The sequence below is a fragment of the Homo sapiens genome, chromosome 6 (assembly GCF_000001405.40).
Source record: "Homo sapiens chromosome 6, GRCh38.p14 Primary Assembly".
NCBI lineage: Eukaryota > Metazoa > Chordata > Mammalia > Primates > Hominidae > Homo > Homo sapiens.
Genome location: NC_000006.12, coordinates 99,942,426 through 99,962,028, shown reverse-complemented (window position 1 = coordinate 99,962,028; position 19,603 = coordinate 99,942,426). Strand labels below are relative to the sequence as shown.

The 19,603-nt window shown below is 37.7% G+C and overlaps 1 protein-coding gene across 3 annotated transcripts in view; it reads left to right on the top strand.

Moving 5' to 3' along the window:
* The window catches only part of MCHR2 (melanin concentrating hormone receptor 2), a 75,705-nt gene that overhangs the window by 32,195 nt on the left and 23,907 nt on the right, over positions 1-19,603 (top strand). For all 3 annotated transcript variants that reach the window (NM_032503.3, NM_001040179.2, XM_024446571.2), the window contains exons 2-4: positions 5,855-6,063; positions 14,058-14,267; positions 18,886-19,080. In NM_032503.3, coding sequence (NP_115892.2) covers positions 5,882-6,063; positions 14,058-14,267; positions 18,886-19,080 — 587 coding nt within the window. In that variant the 5' untranslated portion in view covers positions 5,855-5,881. The remainder of the gene's footprint in view (positions 1-5,854; positions 6,064-14,057; positions 14,268-18,885; positions 19,081-19,603) is intronic.

The window sequence follows — 19,603 nt, the reverse complement described above, 5'->3', positions numbered from 1 at the left end:
GAAATTTTAAAAATCATATGCTGAGTTTGATGTGATATACCATGAGAAAAAATCTATCTGTGAAATTGTGAAGAAGGAAAAAATAAATTCGTGCTAGTTTGGCTGTCATAGATTTCATTCCATTGTGGTTGGAAAAGATACTTGACATGATTTTCATATTCTTTTTTATTATTATTATACATTAAGTCCTAGGGTACATGTGCACAATGTGCAGGTTTGTTACATAGGTATACATGTGCCATGTTGGTTTGCTGCACCCATCAACTTGACATTTACATTAGGTATTTATCCTAATGCTATCCCTCTCCCAGCCTCCCATCCCGCAACAGGCCCTGGTGTGTGATGTCCCCCACCCTGTGTCTATGTGTTCTCGTTGTTCAACTCTCACCTATCAGTGAGAACATGCAGTGTTTGGTTTTCTATCCTTGTGATAGTTTGCTGAGAATAATGGTTTCCAGCTTCATCCATGTCCCCGCAAAGGACATGAACTTATCCTTTTTTATAACTGCATAGTATTCCATGGTGTATATGTGCCACATTTCTTAATCCAGTCTATCCTTGATGGACATTTGGGTTGGTTCCAAGTCTTTGCTACCGTGAACAGTGCCTCAGTAAACATACATGTGCATGTGTCTTTATAGTAGAATGATTTATAATCCTTTGGGTGTATAACCAGTAATGGGATCGCTGGGTCAAATGGTATTTCTAGTTCTAGATCCTTAAGGAATCGCCACACTGTCTTCCACAATGGTTGAACCAATTTACACTCCCACCAACAGTGTAAGAGCATTCCTAAAACATTCTAAAAAAAAAAGTGTTCCTAAAACGCTTTTTTTTTCTTCTTTTGAGAAGTGTCTGTTCATATCCTTTGCCCACTTTTTGATGGGGTTGTTGTTTTTTTCTTGTAAATTTGTTTAAGTGGATTCTGGATATTAGCCTTTTGGCAGATGGGTAGATTGCAAAATTTTTCTTCCATTCTATAGGTTACCTGTTCACTCTCATGACAGTTTCTTTTGCTGTGCAGAAGCTCTTTAGTTTAATTAAATCCCATTTGTCAATCTTGGCTTTTGTTGCCATTGCTTTTGGCATTTTAGTCATGAAGTCTTTGCCCATGTCTATGTCCTGAATGGTATCGCCTAGGTTTTCTTCTAGGGTTTTTATGGTTTTAGGTCTTATGTTTCTGTCTTTAATCCATCTTGAGTTAATTTTTGTATAAGGTGTAACGAAGGGGTCCAGTTTCAGTTTTCTGCATATGGCTAGCCAGTTTTCCCAACACCATTTATTAAATGGGAAATCCTTTCCCCCTTGCTTGTTTTTGTCAGATTTGTCATAGATCAGATGGTTGTAGATGTGTGGCATTATTTCTGAGGCCTCTGTTCCGTTCCATTTGTCTAGATCTGTTTTGGTACCAGTACCATGCTGTTTTGGTTACTGTAGCCTTGTAGTATAGTTTGAAGTCAGGTAGCATGATGCCTCTGGCTTTGTTCCTTTTGCCTAGGATTGTCTTGGCTATGGGGGCTCTTTTTTGGTTCCATATGAACTTTGAAGTAGTTTTTTCCAATTCTGTGAAGAAAGTCATTGGTAGCTTGATGGGGATGGCATTGAATCTATAAATTACCTTGGGCAGTATGGCCATTTTCACCATATTGATTCTTCCTATCAATGAGCATGGAATGTTCTTCCATTTGTTTGTGTCCTCTTTTATTTCGTTGAGCAGTGGTTTGTAGTTCTCCTTGAAGAGCTTTTGTTATCTGATAAAGTCTTTATCTCTCTTTAATTTTCAAAGAATATTTTTGCTGGACATAGTATTCTTGGTTGACAGTTTTTTTCTTTCAGCACATTGACTATATCATCCCACTCTCTCCTGGCTTGCAAGGTTTCTGCTAAGAAATCCACTAACAGATGTATTGGAAGTCCCTTGAATCATTTTTCTCTTGCTGCTTTCAAAATTTTCTGTTGTCTTTGTGGACTTCTTTTGATGTAGCCTATTTGAGGTAGGCTGGTCTTCTTGAATCTGGATGTTCATTTCCCTTCCCAGATTTAGGAAGATTTCAGCCATTATTTCTTTAAATAAGCTTTCTGTCCCTTTCTTTCTCTTCTTTTTCTGAGATGCCCATAACATGTATATGGATCCTTTCAGTGGTGTCCAATAGTCTTTAAGGCTTTTTTTACCTATTATTATTATTATTATTATCATTATTATTATTGTTTCTTTTTACTCCTCTGCCTAGTTTATATTTCAAATGAGTTGTCTTCAAATTTTCTGATTCTCTCTCTTGCTTGATCAAGTCTGCTGTTGAAACTTTATAGTGAATTTTTCATTTCAATTGTTGCATTTCTCAGCTCCAAAATCTGTTTGGTTCTTTTTTATATTTTCTATCCCTTTGCTGAAACTCTCATTTTGTTCCTGTATTGTTTTAATGAGTTTATCAATCACCTTTATGGTGGTTATTTTGAATTATTTGTCAGGTAATTAGTATCTAACTGTTTCTTTAGTATCAATTTCTGAAAATTTACTTGGCTCATTTGATTGGGCAATTTTTCTCTGCTTCTTTGTTTTCCTTGTAACTTTGCATTGGTATCTACACATTTTAACAATATAGCTACCTCTCCCAGTCTTTGTAGACTGGCTCCAGACAGGGAAACATCTTCACCAAGCAGCATAGCTACAGATTCAGGGGACATCTCAAACATTTTCTGTGGACATGACTCCTCTGGACATGTGTGTCTAGGTTCCTACTTAGAGAGATTTACCAATTTCTTTTTTCCTGAAACGCATAATTTCTTTTTCCATTGGTATCTATCTTTTGTACCACAGGTTCTCCAAAATAGCAGCATGCCATCTGACTCTTTTTGTTCCCAGTGGCCTTCCAGGCATCCAGAGTACATGAGGTCTCATCAGTGCCCCAGTTTGAGCTATAGAGAAACCAGTCCCTCTGGAAACCCCCCAAAAGCCAGAACACTGCATATATGCTCCAATCTTCACTCCTCCTAAGGAAGATACTGCCAAGCAGCATTGACCTCTGTCAGCTATACCACAGGTCCTCTGGAGCAGCAGCACACTGCCCAGCTCTTTTGTTCTAAGGAGCCCCCAGGTATCCAGAATATGCCATTCCCTGGCAGTACACTGAGATAGATGAGACAAAAACCTGTCCCCAAGGAAGCCCCTTGAAAGTTAGAACAATGGACATGTGCTCCAGTTTTCTCTCTCTCCCCAGGGAGAAGCCAGAAGCTGGAAGTTTCCCCCGATCATATGGCACTGTGCCAGAGAGACTATGGCAAGAGGGTGCCACAGGTTCTTCTATTGGCTTTGATGTAGCTGGCTTCCCATTTGCCTTGGATGCAAGTTTCTTAACTGGTTTCTGGATTTCTCACAAAGGGAATTGTTCCATGTATGGCTGTTGAATCAGTGGTGCCATGGGAGAAAGAGGGTCTGAGATTTCCTGTTTTACCATCTTGATGGTGTCTTTTAATGAACAGATTTTTTTTTTCATTGTAATCAAATTTTTCTGGTTTTTATTAAACATCTGTGTCTTGTTTATGGAATTTTTTACTCCAAGGACCTAAAGATACTCTATATTCACTTCTAAAAGCCTTTTACATTTGTTTTTAAGTCACATGGAGTTTATTTTTATGTACGTATAGATTTCAAATCAATGTGCATATAAATGTATGTAAGCATATATGAATTCATGTATATGTGTATGTATAATATATATTTATATAGGTGAGATTGGTTTTTCCATTTAGACAGGCAATTGTCCCAGCACCATTTATGGAAGAGTCCATTCTTTCCTCACTTCTCTAAAGTGACATCTTTTCATATATCAAGTGTAATATATATGTATGGGTCTGTTTGGGGGCTCTCTTTAATGTTTCCTTGACCTATTTGTCTATCCCTATTCAAATATCACACTGTGTAGATTACTGTATCTTTATAATTTGTCTTAGTATCAAATAAATTAAGTCCTTCTATCTGATTCTCTTTTTTCAAGAGTTTATTTAGTATTCTTAGCCTTTTATGTTTAAATTTCAGAAGTAGTATGTTATCATCTTTCACAGAATAAAACTTGGAATTTTATTGGAATTGCATTGAATCTATAAGTCAGTCTGGGGAAAATTGACATCTATAGATTAATGAGTCTTCAAATTCATTAACTTGGTATTTTTCTCCATTTACAAATTTTCTTTAACATCAGTTAAATGTTATAATTTTTCCAGTAGAGTTCTTACAAATTTTTGCTGAGTTTAGCATTAGGTATATATATTTTTAACAAATGTTAACTCTTTTAAACTTTCTTTTTCTAATGGTTTGTAGAAAATATATGGAAATATAATTAAATTTTTGCTTGTTTTTATATCCAGCAAACTTACTAAATTCTCTTAGAGTTACGTAATAACAACTCTGAGACTTTCTTACTCTCCAAGTCTCATACATCCTATTTTTTTCTTCCCCCATTGTACTAGAAAAGTCCAATATTGAAGAAAAGTGGTGATAGTGGACATTCTTTCATGTTTTGAAAGGGAAATGTTCAGCATTTCATGATTAAAATTCTCTTCAGGGGAGATTCAATTATCAAAGTAACATGACAGACATGAAAAGGAACCAAATGAAAATGAAGAACATTTTTTTAAAATCACATCTCTCTCTCAATTGATGGAAAAAGCATCTTTAATATTAAACTAAAAATCTACTGATGATAAAAAATGCTTGCTGAACTGGGAATAGAGGGAACTTTCTTAATCTGACTAGATAAAATACACTTAATTATGAAGCCCCTGAGGCTCCAGCTCAGAAGAGGGTATCTCCTGTAAGATTCCCCAGCCTCAGTAGGCCCTGGACCCTGATTTTTCTCTGGACTTCATCCAGACATGGAACCAGACTTCAAATGTTATGTCATCCATAAGTGCCTTCTAAATCAAGATAGCATTGGTGCTTCAGTATTCCACTTACTTTTCAAGATCTCATTCAAAACCTAGCCAGGGAATGCCCACTGATTTTTCAGACCTTGAGTATTTTTAAGTTGCTGTATACACACACGCAGACACACATAAATATAAATACACACACACACACACACACATTTTGTCCAGCATATTTTATTTTCAGTGGGAAGATTAATCTGAGTAATCCAATTTATCATTTCCAAATACCAGACTTAGATGATATTTTTAAAATGTCTTTTATCAAAAGTTTGATCAAGCAAATAATTTTCTAGTTCTATTTTGCTTTATTTACTTGTTTATTTTTTGGCAGTGAGCATTTGGCCTTGAATACTTCTTTGCACATGGTGCCTCCGCTGGCTACAACGCTTTTCCCTTCCCACAACTCTAATTTGCTGAGCTAACTCTCCCTCATGCTTCAACATAGTCCAATAATCACATCAGGAGGTCTTACCCATTCCATTTCTAAACAATCCGAGTTCAGTAGACCCCATGCATTTTATAGCAGACAGAGAGGATATATTTAACAACATAAGTGTTACAAGAATACTAGCCAATATGAACAGATCTGCAGGCCAATAAGAATAGACGTGATCTGTAAACAACCAGGACCAGTATATACTAGCTAAATATCACCTATGCTCAAAGCATATAGTACAGTAAGATGTGGTAAGATACAAAGATTATCATGATGCTTCTCAAGTTGTTCTGTAACTTGCTGTTTACCTATCTCTTGTGGTAATCTGTGAGATTACTATGAACAGGGACCAATCATACTCACCCTGGGATCCTGTGTTCCATGGAATCTTGGTTTTAAAAAAGAGGTTCCAAAAAATATTATTTGAATTAGGTAAAGGAAGTTATATTGAGGGAATGTTCACTAAATAAATCACTTCCTATTACTTCACAGCTTTAATCCCTGGAAAGTCCACGAACAATGAATCCATTTCATGCATCTTGTTGGAACACCTCTGCCGAACTTTTAAACAAATCCTGGAATAAAGAGTTTGCTTATCAAACTGCCAGTGTGGTAGATACAGTCATCCTCCCTTCCATGATTGGGATTATCTGTTCAACAGGGCTGGTTGGCAACATCCTCATTGTATTCACTATAATAAGGTAAGGAATGGCTCCTTTTTTTTTTTTTTCCTTCCATACTTTAGGAAACTACAGTCAAAGCTCCCTAAATGAGTCCTTTCCCCTGTAGCATTTTGCTTAATGAAATGCAATTTTGGAAATATTTGCTTAAGATAATTAATGAAGATTCTACAGATATTTTCGTCATGCATTAGGTAACATCTCAGTTGCAAATCTCAACATGCTAAGACCTAGGCCAATGCTTACTGCTGGGTCAGTGAGTTTTTAGGGAAATGACTCTCACTCTCAGTCTTAGCTGCATATTAGAATCATCTGGGGAGCTTTAAAAACTCCTGATATGCAGTTTCACCCCAGACCCATTAACTCAGAATCTCTAAGGGTAGGGCCCGGGTAAGATTTAAAACTGCAATGCAACATTTCATTTTCCAGCAATAAGAATTATCCTAAAAAGCTGACCTGTTTAGGCAGGTGAAAGAGATTCTTTTACTCACTTGGGCAAAAGAGAGACTTTATGTTATCACCAGAAGATGCAGGAAGTCATAGGTAGTGGGCTGTTCCCTTTGGTGTAGACCAGCCTATATAAACCAAACTGAGAGACATCTGCCCCCGAGTACCTCCTGCATGGGCACCACATCTCCCACCTAATTCAGGTAATTTCCTCCTCTCAAGTAGAGAGACAGAATAAGAACTTTACTTGGAGAATAAGAACTGATTATTTGTTTTCTAGGGACTTGACAAAATGGATTCAGAATTAGTGCACACTAGCCCTATAGCTACTTGGTATATTTACTATCCTGATTATTTTCACATGTAAGTTTTGCTAGTTTTAATAACTATAGGATGTTAAATTTTTCATCCTAGTTTCTGATTATACTTAAAATTGCCATTTTCAAAATGTTCTTCCATATTCATATGTTATAAAAGATATTCTAGACTGCAGGTTTAGTATCCCTTATCCAAAATGCTTGCGACCAGAAGTGGTTCAGATTTCAGATTTCTTTTTATTTTGTGCTGTTTGTATATGCATAATGAGATATCCTGCAGAAGGGACCAAGTCTAAATACAAAATTCATTATGTCTCACTTATACCTTATACTCATAGCCTGAAAGTAATTTTATGTAATATTTTGAATAATTTTATGCATGAGACAAAGTTTTTGTAAATCAAACCATCAGAAAGTAAAGGCGTCACTCTCTCAGCCACCCATGTGGACATCTGTGGTTGTTTGGCATCACCATCATTCCTGACTCTATATTGACATCCAACCAATAAACAATCACTTTCTTAAACTTATTCACACAACAATACTTAGCAGTAAAAAATATGACCATTAACACCACTAATACAGTGAAAAATAATGTGTTCAGGGGAACTAAGCAGCCCAGTAACATCACCAGAACACCTGCACCAGCTGTGAAATGACAGCAGCTGAAGGGGGCTGGGAGGGTCATTTTTCCCTTGGAGACGCTGTGTGTTATACAGCAGCATTTTGACTGCAACCCATCACATGAGGTCAGGTGTGGACCGTTCCACTTGTAGGGTCATGTTATTCCTCAAAAAGTTTCAGATTTTGGAGCATTTCAGATTTTGGATTTTCAAGTTAGGGATGCCCAACCTGCACTACCTAATAGGTGTTTTCAGCATCATATTAACACATAACTGCAACAAACTTTTGTGGAGCATATTACACTTAAAAAGCACAGCAGTACTATTATTACACCCATTTAAGAAAAGAGGTTCAGATGAGTAAATAACTGGTCCAGCATCAGAGCTAGTAAGTAGCGATCCTGGCAATCGAACTCAGATTTATTCCGAATCCAAGGCTATTTCCTCCACAACTAATGAAAACAAAGAGGTCATCAAAATTATAGAGACAGTTGTTGGATTTGCTGTAAAGATAAAAGAATCCTCACAGGCTTAACTGAGAGCAAGAGGAGCCCTCAGGATGGTCATGTGAGAAGGTCACCCCGAGAAGGCTCGTAACTTGTCACTTCCCCAGGTGGCGTCTCATCAGCCAGCCCTCTCTCAAACCTTCAGTTTCGCTATCTCTGCAGTTAGAAGTAGAGGATCAATGGTATTTTTTACACCAGTCACAGCTGAAGATTTATTTAGTACATAGGGATTCTACTCTTAATAAATTCAAGCATTCCTTATTGTGTCCTGTAAAGCTATTTGTGAATATCAAGCATTTTAAATTTTTCTTTAAGTGCTAGAAGAAATTCAATTCAATATCTATTAGTAAATACCTATTGCATGCCCTGCATTGCCCTAGGGTTTATGAAAATACCAAAAAAAAAAGCAGCGTCTATCTAAAAAGTTCATATTCTAGTGGGGAAGATGAGATTTAAACTCATGGAATAATTTGAAAAATAATACAAGAAAGACTTTAAAAACAATCAAGTGGGGGAAAAAAGATGGCTCAGATAAGTTCCAGGAAAGAAAATGGAAGTAATCAATATTCTAAGGGAGCTTCAAAGAGGCAATAGTGCTGAGTAGAGAGTTAATAGCCACAGACTTGAGAATGTTTCTAGCTCACTCCCATTTGCCTGTTGGACCTGCCCAGTTCTCCTTCCATCTCTCCCTCATGGCCTCCAGTATTTCTGCCCTGCTCTTCTACAGATACATATGGTGTGTCCTACACTCAAAAGCCTTGGTACCACCATTGAAAAACCAGGTCCTTATTAGGTGTTAGCCCTTCCGAAATGTTTGCATTTTCACAGGCAACTTTTATATGCAAAACCTCTTCAGTGTGGGATTCCAGCTCTTGTGACAAGCTGTTGAAGAGATGTCTGGAGCCAGAGAAATTTCTTGGATCCCTCAATTTACACCAATAGATAACAGCTTAATCCCATCTATTTATACAGAGACAAAGTTGTAAAAAAGGAAGACATGGGCAATGTGAACTCTTCTAAAAGTCAATTCTGAGCTGTAACTTATGGAAACAGATTTTCAACATAAAGTCAACCGTCATTTAACTGAGGAGAAAAACACCTGAGCCATTGTACGGACCAATTGGTTTGCAATATTGAGAAAAATCTATCATTTCTTCATATTATCATTTTATACATAATGTGAGAATATACATTAGATAAAGAAATGCTAATGGAGCTTTTAAAATAAATATTGTAATCTTTCAAAAAGTATCAGGAACAACTTTTAATTAAAACAACAGTTTTAATTTTTTTGCTAAGATTTTAACACTTTTCCTTGCACATGGCTCTCCAAAAATGTATTAATCTTTCAAAAGTGATTTGAAAGCAACTTACATTTATTTATTTATTTGGCTAGGAATTTATCAACTTTTTTGCAAATTGCTCTCTAAATATTTTAAGGCAGTTTGTATTAATGTTTTCATCATGCTTTGCCATGATCTTTTATTTGTTACTTTATGAACAGACAGGTGAATTAAATAAAATATTAAGACTACAGTAATGATAAGGAGAAATAAATAACATTTAAACAAGATTTAATGACTTTTCCTTTTACAGTAGTAATTGTATCAAAACCATTGTTCATCAATAGAACTAAAAGTCAATAAAATCATTAATGATGCTGGAAAGCAAGCAATGAACTAATTTCTGACTTTGCCAAATGAAGACTAGAAACGTATATAAAATAAATATGTTTAAGGAAGATGGAGCTTCAAGAATAAGATGTTCTATGTGCCTTTTTTTAAAAGCAAGAAACAACTTGTGCATTAGGAGGGTGACTATAAAATAATGAGGCCTGATCATCACTAGTCTGTTGTACATTAAATTTACAGCAGGTGAAAGGAAGCCAGTTTAGAAAATGTAGGCAGAAAATTGAGCCAATTATAATATTTTCCTCTTGCATTCCCAGGAGACAGATTGATGAACTCAACCCCATTACTCAACTAGTCTCCACAGGCACAGCAGGCCCTGGGAATCACCTATACTTCAATAAACGGACAACTTTGTTTTGTCAGACCCCCACATCTACCTTCTGAACACATCTTTCTTCTGTTTACTGACAGACTCCCTTCAACTGGGCAGAGTCTCTATAAAAGGTGCCCTATCCTCCAAAAATAGAGTTCCCATTTTGTCACTTCCTGCCCTCATCTCCCTGTCAGGTCAACTAATTCACACTAAGTCATGAATTCGTGAAACAGAGGTTACGAGATGGACAATGTGTTAACCTAGAGGAATACTGTCTAATGGTAGAATTCCAGCTGCTGACAGGGATGGAAAACGTTTTAGAACACAGGTCTCTTTTTTCCCCACCCAGATTAAATAATAACTAACAGCTCCCTCTGACCCAGCCCTCTACCATTCCAAGTGTCAGCCATACACAGACTCTTGTTGGAATTGACCCATACCCTTGGCTGCACAGATATGTTTTCGATGCCAGAGTACCATGCAACAACATCTGTTCAGATGAGCTGTGGTCCAGTTGGCCAATATGAGAAGCTGGCTTGGGAATCTAAGGAAGTTGAATCGCTTGCCTAAGGACACAATGAGCGAGGGCATAGAAATGAAAATAAAATTCCCAGTTAGGTTATCTTTCCACTCTGTCACTCTATGTATCTAGGGAAGGGTTGGCAAATATAGGACTCTACTATAAACTCTCTCACCCTTAGCAGTCATCTCTAATCACGCAGGTCTGTCCTGTATAGCATCTGTCCTGTATAGGTCTGTCCTGTGTGAGGACTCAGAATTCTTCTCAGCACAGTGCTTCAGGAAATGACTACTAATCCATTGGCATAGGCTCATGATAGCAATTTAATTCAACTAGAGTTAAATGCCAGATGGGATGGTGAGGCAACCCAGAGATTAACAAGAGCAGGAAGCCACTTCTACACCCTATCCCATCCCTCACCCCAACACCACTTTCCTCTCCCTGCCCCAAGCTGGAGGGAAAAGGGAGAAAGAGGTTTTTCAGTCCTCAGGAGTCTGGGCTGCCTGGTGGGAGCTGGAGCCCCACTGGTATCTTGGACCATGGAGTGAAGGCTACATTCTGGCTTCTCCTCTCCTCCTTACTCTCCAGTTCCCACTGGTGCTTCTGACTGGCTAAACCTAATCAGAAGCCAATTGGCAAAGGGGCCTGAGGACAGGCTGGCGAATGACAAGCACAGCAGCCTACATGCGTAGTGTTATGTTTTGTTAGTTTTACTAATTCATATCATATGTTGTTATTTCTGATGGCAAAAGGTAAGCATGATTTTAATAGAAATTTTGAAAAATTGTGAGAAAATGCAAACAATAAAGTAAAAAATCAGTCATACTACTACCAAATAGATGATCACTGTGATCACTTGACATATTGTTCCTGCAAATTTTTTAACAAATGTTTAAATAAATTTAGAGTCATGCTATACACATTATGAGTATTCTTTCTTTTTTCTTTTTACTTAATAGTATTAGTATTTTCTCATCTGATTAAATATTCTTTCAAACTATGACTACAGGTACATCCTATTGAGTGTGGTAGTGTGGAAATACCATAATTTATTTTATCATTCCTCAAATTAATGAGTATTAGATATGACCACGTTAACCATATGGAGCACATGTTAGCCAAAATTATCACAAGTCTTTGTATTTTATATTAAATGTTTACATCGTAAGAAATATAAATTCCATGAAGTCTGACAACAGGAAATCTAAAGATAAATTAGACCTAAAAAGGGATATAATTTATATAGTTAGAAATTTTACAATTTCTATTTAATTGTTTTTAATTTTGATGCTGTTGCTTTCAGTAAAGAAGACAATAATAAATATAATGTGTTATTCATATTGCCCTAGTAACTTATGTCCAGATAAATTTATCAGTTGCTTCAGAACTCTCTTTGTACTATACAGAATATCATCTAGACACACTTTTATTTAATTCTTTTTGATTGCCAGTTAATGGCCTGCACTGTTCCCACAATAGAATTACCATAATTCATTATCAGTAAATGATGGGTACCCCTCTAGAGAAAAGCAAGGGCCATGGATCTAATTGCTGCAATTGAGACCTAAGCAACTGCTTATGGTTTATATCCCAATTCACATGAAAATAACATCTATTTATAGACTAAGATTTATGATTTTTTTTTTTTTTAGTTTGGAGCTCTTTCTATCTGACTGCTAATATCTGTCCCTCTTCCCTGTCCCCTCTCCATTTCCCAGTCTAATGACCTGAAGAGGACAGGGGATGAGAGACCAAGGACAGTCAGCTGGCTGGTCTTTTGTTTGACATGATCTTTTCTTCATGTCTCCTCTCCCTCTTGGTCATTCTGGTGTGAGGCACCAAGCTCCTGAGGGAAAGGAACCAACCTGTTTTTTTAGTGGCAGCAACAATGCGTACAGTATGGTTGCTGAATAAGGACTCCATGGCAGTAACTTCCCCACACAGTGGATGCTGCCAAGGCCTGGAGAAGAGATGGCCTCGCCCAGTCTAATGTTTCACATGAGAATCTGACAGCTGAGAAATGAAGTTCACAGGCTATAGAAGTTGTAACCAATGAATAATAAAGACACACACTAGCTTCCAAACAGCAGAGCACTAGCCCTGAAATAGGAAAAAACTAGCAATTGTGGCATAATCTTAGGACTGGTTCTTAACATGCTCTTTAAATTCTTATTTGTCCACATCTGCCAATAAACCTGTCTTGACAGTTCCCAGGAAAGAGGAGGGGGCCCCTTCTTTGTGCTTCTTGTCCTTGTACTTGTCTCTAGTTTTCTCTCATCAAATTGTGATGTGATCATTTATTTATGCATGTCTAGACTATAAGCTCCTTGATGACAGGGTTTATACATAGTTCAGCTTTACAGCCTTAGAGCACAACATTATGCCTGCCATGTAATTGGTGCTCAATAAAATGTTTTTTGAATTAATGAACAGAATCTCCCAGATAAAGATGATACCTGCTTATTATTGAATGTGCCAGCTCCTTGAAGTAGGAACCAACTAAATTTTAAATTTCTGCTCTCAGAAATGTATTTCACCTGCTGATGAGAAGGCCACTTCTAGATAGCATTGAATTCACTTCTCCCACCCCCGGCTCCCCACAGGAGACATGAGATCATTCTCAGTGCCATCTACCAGCTCCCTCTTTTCAGATGACTCTCACTGTCTGGATCTCAGGGTCTTTATTAATAGTCTTTGCTATTTGTTAGATTTTACTGGAATATTTCTAAGTCATTGTTGAAATCTTAACAATGGCCTAAGCTGCAATAAGAAAAAAAATGCATTAGACAACAGAAATCATTTATTTTCAGTCTTCAGCTGTTTTAAATACTAGGAATGAGTAAAGACTAAATCTTTTACCTGAGTGTATTTAAAGTTGGTATAACTTGTTGCTGCATAAAAAATTACCCCAAACATAGTGGCTTGAAACAATAAACATTTACTGTCTCACGTGTGTCCAATGGTCATGGATTCAGGAGCAGCTTAGCTGGTTGGTTCTGGCTCATGATCTGTCATAAAGTTGCTGTCAAGCTGTCTTCCAGGGTTACAGTTATCTGAAGGCTTGGCTGCGGCTGGAGGATCTACTTCCAAGGTAGCTTATTCCCATACCTGGAAAGCTGGTGCTGACTGGTTGTTAACCAATTCCTCTCCACATGGACCTCTCCATAGTGTTGCTTGAGTATCCTCACAAGATGGTAGCCGGCTACCACCAGGGAAAGCAATCCAACAGAGAGCAAAGAGAAAGCCCCACAAAAATTTTGTGACCTAATTTCAAAGTCACACACTGCACTTCTGCCATATTCTCATTGTTAGAAGCAAGTTAATAAGGTCAGCACTCAGAGGGAATTAGGCTCCACCTACTGAAAGGAATATCAAATATTTTGTGGACATATTTTTAAACCACCACAGTAAGTTATCAAATAAATAGTTCAAAATGCTTAAATACACACAAGACTAGGCATTTCCTCTATGCATCTGTATAGGTTTTCCTTTAACATTTAAAATGCATTATGTCAATTAAAAATTTGTATGAGGTAGCATATATCGAATAGTCTGTATACATTCAATGTCAATCCTCAGTTTCCTCTATCTCTTTCAGATCCAGGAAAAAAACAGTCCCTGACATCTATATCTGCAACCTGGCTGTGGCTGATTTGGTCCACATAGTTGGAATGCCTTTTCTTATTCACCAATGGGCCCGAGGGGGAGAGTGGGTGTTTGGGGGGCCTCTCTGCACCATCATCACATCCCTGGATACTTGTAACCAATTTGCCTGTAGTGCCATCATGACTGTAATGAGTGTGGACAGGTAAGTGAAAGACTTTGAAATATCTTAATATAATTCAGAGGTGCCTGTGCTTCCCCAAGCTCATTCCAATTCCAACACCAGTTTTGGTTTATAACAGCAGAGGTTTTCTTCCTTTGTTTCACTGTAGAACTGATTACTTAAGAATATTTTGTTCAACTTTCACAGAGGAATATTTTTAATGGAAAACATAAAACACAAAAATCTCCTTTTTTCTAATCATTCTTTTTGACTCAGTTTTATTTGCAATTCAGTGCAAGAAAAAAAAATCACAAAACCAGGAAATATTAGAAACCAGAATGAATTCCCCCCATCAATTTCACAGTAAAGAAGCTGAGGCCCAGAGAGGTGAGGAGATTTGCTAGAAGCACATAGAGAATTAGTGGCAGAACCAAGAATTAAAGTAGGTTTCCTTAGTCTCTGTCCAAGGCTATTTCTGATATGTCCACTGTCTCATACACTTGTTATTGCCTCATAGCTCTAAGGAATCAGTGGAGTAAATAGATGTTATTATACAACCATGAAGCAATTTCCCAGTGCCAGGGAGATCATCTTTTACAAACATTATTGTGATTGGTTAATACAAATGCTGTTATTTTATATTATTAGAAATGTATTCCACTATGTCTTGGAAATGTGCCATAGCCCTTTTCACCATCCATGTAAGCTAATGTTATTTGAGGAGATGATGGTGATGGTGAGTACTTATGGAACCAATAAGTGGTAGAATCCAGTTCAGACCCAAGCCATCTGACTCTAGAGATGGCAGATAGTTGTAACTGCCTCACTATCTGGCCTGTCTAGGAAGCATGCAAGCTAGGATATGCCCTGCATTATCCAGATGCCAGAACGTCCACACCAGGTCCTAGCAGCTCACCCCAAACAGAAACAGAGCCTAAAGACAACCATAGTACTTCCAACAGTGATACTCTGTCTTCTAGGACAACCCACTTAAAATCTCCATCTGCCTTCTTCCCAACCCAACCCTAGCCCAACACATTTAATCCTCTTTGCTCTGATCTACTGTTTTTCCTTTGATTCAAATATATTACATAAATCACGTGTGTGTGTGTGTTATTTATTGTCTCATTCCCTTGTACCTCAGATGTCAATTCCACAAAGGCAGGGTCTTGGTCCACCAATATATCATAAATGTGTATGTAACAGTGCCTGGCACTCAGGTGCTCAAAAAATATTGATGAATGAATGAATGAATGAATGTCTTGAAGGGTATGTTAAATTTCCCTGGGTCCATCCAGAAATTGTCCTGAACCCTGCCTCTTTCACCCTTCTAAGTGAGACTTTTTGGTGGGGAAGTGATGAGCCATTCTTCAGATGAACAAAAAAAGAATTGCAAAGTTCATATAAATAATTCACTCTGACAAGAACGAATAATAATGGTAAATTTTTAAATATCCTTTTGTTTTTCTGCAAGAGAACTTTCAAAATATAGAATGTGCTTCTCAACTTGTAACTAACACATTTTTAAATCAATATACTGCATAGCTCTGGTTAGCTCAGCTAATGCCAGCCAATGTGACTGTGTCATGAGAAAAGCCCCATATGCTTGTCAGGGTTCCAATACCAGGAAGAGGGCCTTGAACAGGCCAGGCTCACTGTAGAAAAGTGACCTAAAGTACAGACCATACCAACAGTAATCCCATTCTTGGGGATAATACGAGCTTCTTTATATACTGTGCCTTGGATGCAGGAGAATATTGGCTTTTTTTGAAAAAAAAAAAAATAAACAGGTATACTCCTATAAATCTCTTACTGTAAATGAAGTGAATGGGCATTTTCTGCCTTGGAAGAGACAAACTGTGTATGTTTTTAAATATTGACAGGTTTTTCTCTGTGTATATATGTGTGCACACATGCAGGCGTGGTATCTTACTCCTAGTCTTTTGTTTTGTTTTGTTTTAATCCAATGGACATAGTATGCTAAAATTTCATTTCACATTTAAGACATTCTGCCCTTTCCTTCCCCTCATTCTGGAAGATCAGGTGGTAAGAAACAAGTGAAGAGCCTATAAAACTGAACCATTTCCTTCCTCACATTTCTTGTAATTCTAACTCCACTAAATTCATAAAAGTTTAACAAAATCTGCAATTTTGTAAAAGAGAAATGAGGCTTGCTTTGTAAGATCATAACTAAATGTCAGTGCCATCAGTATGCCTTAGTGTTTACATATTTAAATCATTTTAATTGCCAGTTTAATAGATCATGCATTTCAAGTGTTTCCAATAACTCATTTTGCTTTCCCTAATTAGTGATAACTGCAAGTGTGTAGAATATTTAGTAGTGGGCTTCTACCTCCATAGCCATACAAAAACAATATATAAATATCCAAAATATTAAAAATGTTTGCCTTCAAATGAAAGCTACCTAGACTTTCATTAGTGGCTACTTTTATAAATAAATTCTCTAAAACATCAAGAGTCAGTAAGTAGGAGCCAAAATTTGCAATTGATTCATTCATTTGTTCAAAAAATATTTATTGAGCATGAACCATATGCCAGAGATTGTTGGACACAGGGGATACAGTGGCCTTAAACTAATAGTCAAGGCTCCTGCCCTCATGGGGCTTTCATTCTAGTGGTGTAGACAGACATTAAGTGAAGAGTCCCACAAGTAATTGTATATTTCCACATAGCGATCATACACTAGGAGGGAAAAGTAGAGTCTCCTATAATCTTCTTTTATAGTCATGGTCCCTCCTATAGAATGGGTGGTCAGAGAAGTCTTCCCTAAGAGGGAGACAGTTAAATAGGGACTTGAAGGAAGAGCAAGAAGAAGCAGAGGCAGATCCTGCCAGGCAGGTAGAGCAGCAAGTGCCTAACCTTGAAAGGGGAAGAGCTTGAGGAAGTCAAGAGAGAGACTGGCACAGGCTCCAGCTTGAGCAGCAGGCAGAACCAGGTGGGAAAAAAGACCTGTGGATCATGGGAGGAATTCTGAAAATTGATGGAAAACCACTGAAAGGTTTTCAGCTGGGGAGGGATGCTATCAGAGAAGATTCCTTAATTGCTTGATCCCATGACTTCCTCATCCTATAATTCCAGTAAAAATGATGGCTGGGCTGCTATGCAGTCACTACATCATCCACTTCCGCAGCAGGGAGAAAAGAGGCCCTTCCCTCGTTAGCCATGGGGAATGCATGTGCAGTGTGCAGAGAGGATGGGTAGCTGAGGAGCCCTGGCCAGAAACCACTCTCTGCAACCAAAGGCCCCTTAACTGAATGCAAATGTCCTGCTTCTGGTGCAAAATTGAAAGCGCAAGAGGACAGGAAATTTGTTATTTTTGTGAGTCTTCATTAAGTAGCTTTGCAAAAACTTGGAGAAAATTAAGTGACCATAAAAACCATTTTTACATTTGTTTAATTTCTACTAATACTATCCTCCACCACCCCCAGCTCCCAGCAAAGCTGTGCTTTTTCAAATAGCCTTCCTTCTGAATCTGAACTTGTTTTTCATTCTCAGCTTTCATTTTGCTCTGAAAAATTCTTGGATTTGCTGGAGGACCAAATACATTTGATATGTCAGAATTTCAAGTTTGATTAATGATTACCCCTTTTTTCCTGGCCCTAAAATGAAAAGAGAAAAATAAAGAAAAATGCCTCCCCATGAAATTAGCCTATTTCTTCCCTCTGGCTTCTAGCCTAAGTTCCTTAAGGAATTTGCATTGTCTATACTAGCCATACTTGTTAATCCTCACTGTGACTTCTGTGAGCTGAAACTCCATGAGCCTGGTGACTTAAGTATAAAGCCATCAGGGCAAAATGTTTGTTCTATGTGCCTGAACCCCTTCCTGCTGAGGGATTCTCTTAACCCCACATTTTCTTCCTTCCTGCCTCTGTGTCAGTAAATCTTGCTGGGAAAAGGGTTATTTCCTCCTGCAGGAAATCCCTGTTCAGAGACAAAGTTTTCCAGAGTTTCGTTTATAGGAAAAGCCCCTTTGTAAAGAAAGAGTTTGCACTGTAGAATTTTACCATTATCAATGTATTCATAGAAGGAACAACTATTTCAGTGAGTGGTTTATTCAGACTTGCAGGGTCAAGAATTGTTTTCTCTACAGATACCAGGCAGATCTTAAAAAATATAACTTTCATGTCCTTTGTAGGGACATGGATGAAATTGGAAATCATCATTCTCAGTAAACTATCGCAAGGACAAAAAACCAAACACCGCATGTTCTCACTTATAGATGGGAATTGAACAATGAGAACACATGGACACAGGAAGGGGAACATCACACTCTGGGGACTGTTGTGGGGTTGGGGGAGGGGAGAGGGATAGCATTAGGAGATATACCTAATGCTAAATGACGAGTTAATGGGTGCAGCACACCAGCATGGCACATGTATACATATGTAACTAACCTGCACATTGTGCACATGTACCCTAAAACTTAAAGTATAATAATAATAAAAATAAATAAATAAAAATTTAAAAAAATAAATAAAAATTAAAATATATATATATATAAAACTTTCTTTTGCCCTGATAGAGGTGTGCTTCAGAAAGGAAAATAATGCTAAGAATTTACTCTCATCATGAACCTTTCATCCTTGGAGCTCAGTGCTTTTATTGATTGTTCCAAAACTCTTCCTGACTGCCTTTGCAGGTACTTTGCCCTCGTCCAACCATTTCGACTGACACGTTGGAGAACAAGGTACAAGACCATCCGGATCAATTTGGGCCTTTGGGCAGCTTCCTTTATCCTGGCATTGCCTGTCTGGGTCTACTCGAAGGTCATCAAATTTAAAGACGGTGTTGAGAGTTGTGCTTTTGATTTGACATCCCCTGACGATGTACTCTGGTAAGTTGTGAAAACTTAAGAAAAACGAGTTGAATTAAGTTGTGAAGAACTTCATTCTCCTTGTCAACATGTGAGCAGCCTCAAAGAGTATCCTTATGGATCCTCTTCTCGCCAGTATCTCCATTAGGTTTCTCCACACATACAATCAAGGTGATAAGTTTGATTTTTAAGGAGAGGGTAACCTTTAGAAAAAGATTTTGAATTCAATCATGTAACCTCAGTGGACACAAATATATTTAAACATGGATTTTAAACATTCATAGCAGCCAGACGCAGTGGGAATGCAGCAATCAAGGGAGGTAAGGAATTTCCAGAGTCACTCAGACTCCACCTCATCAGTATGCAATTGCAGTTTGCTTGAATTATGTCCCCTATAAAGACATGTTCAAGTCCTACACCAGCTCCCCATACCTGTGAATGTGATCTTATTTGGAAATAGGGTTTTTTCAGATGTAATCAAGCTAAGTTAAGGTCATGCTGGATTAGGGTGGGCCCAATGACTATTGTCCTGATAAGGAGAAGC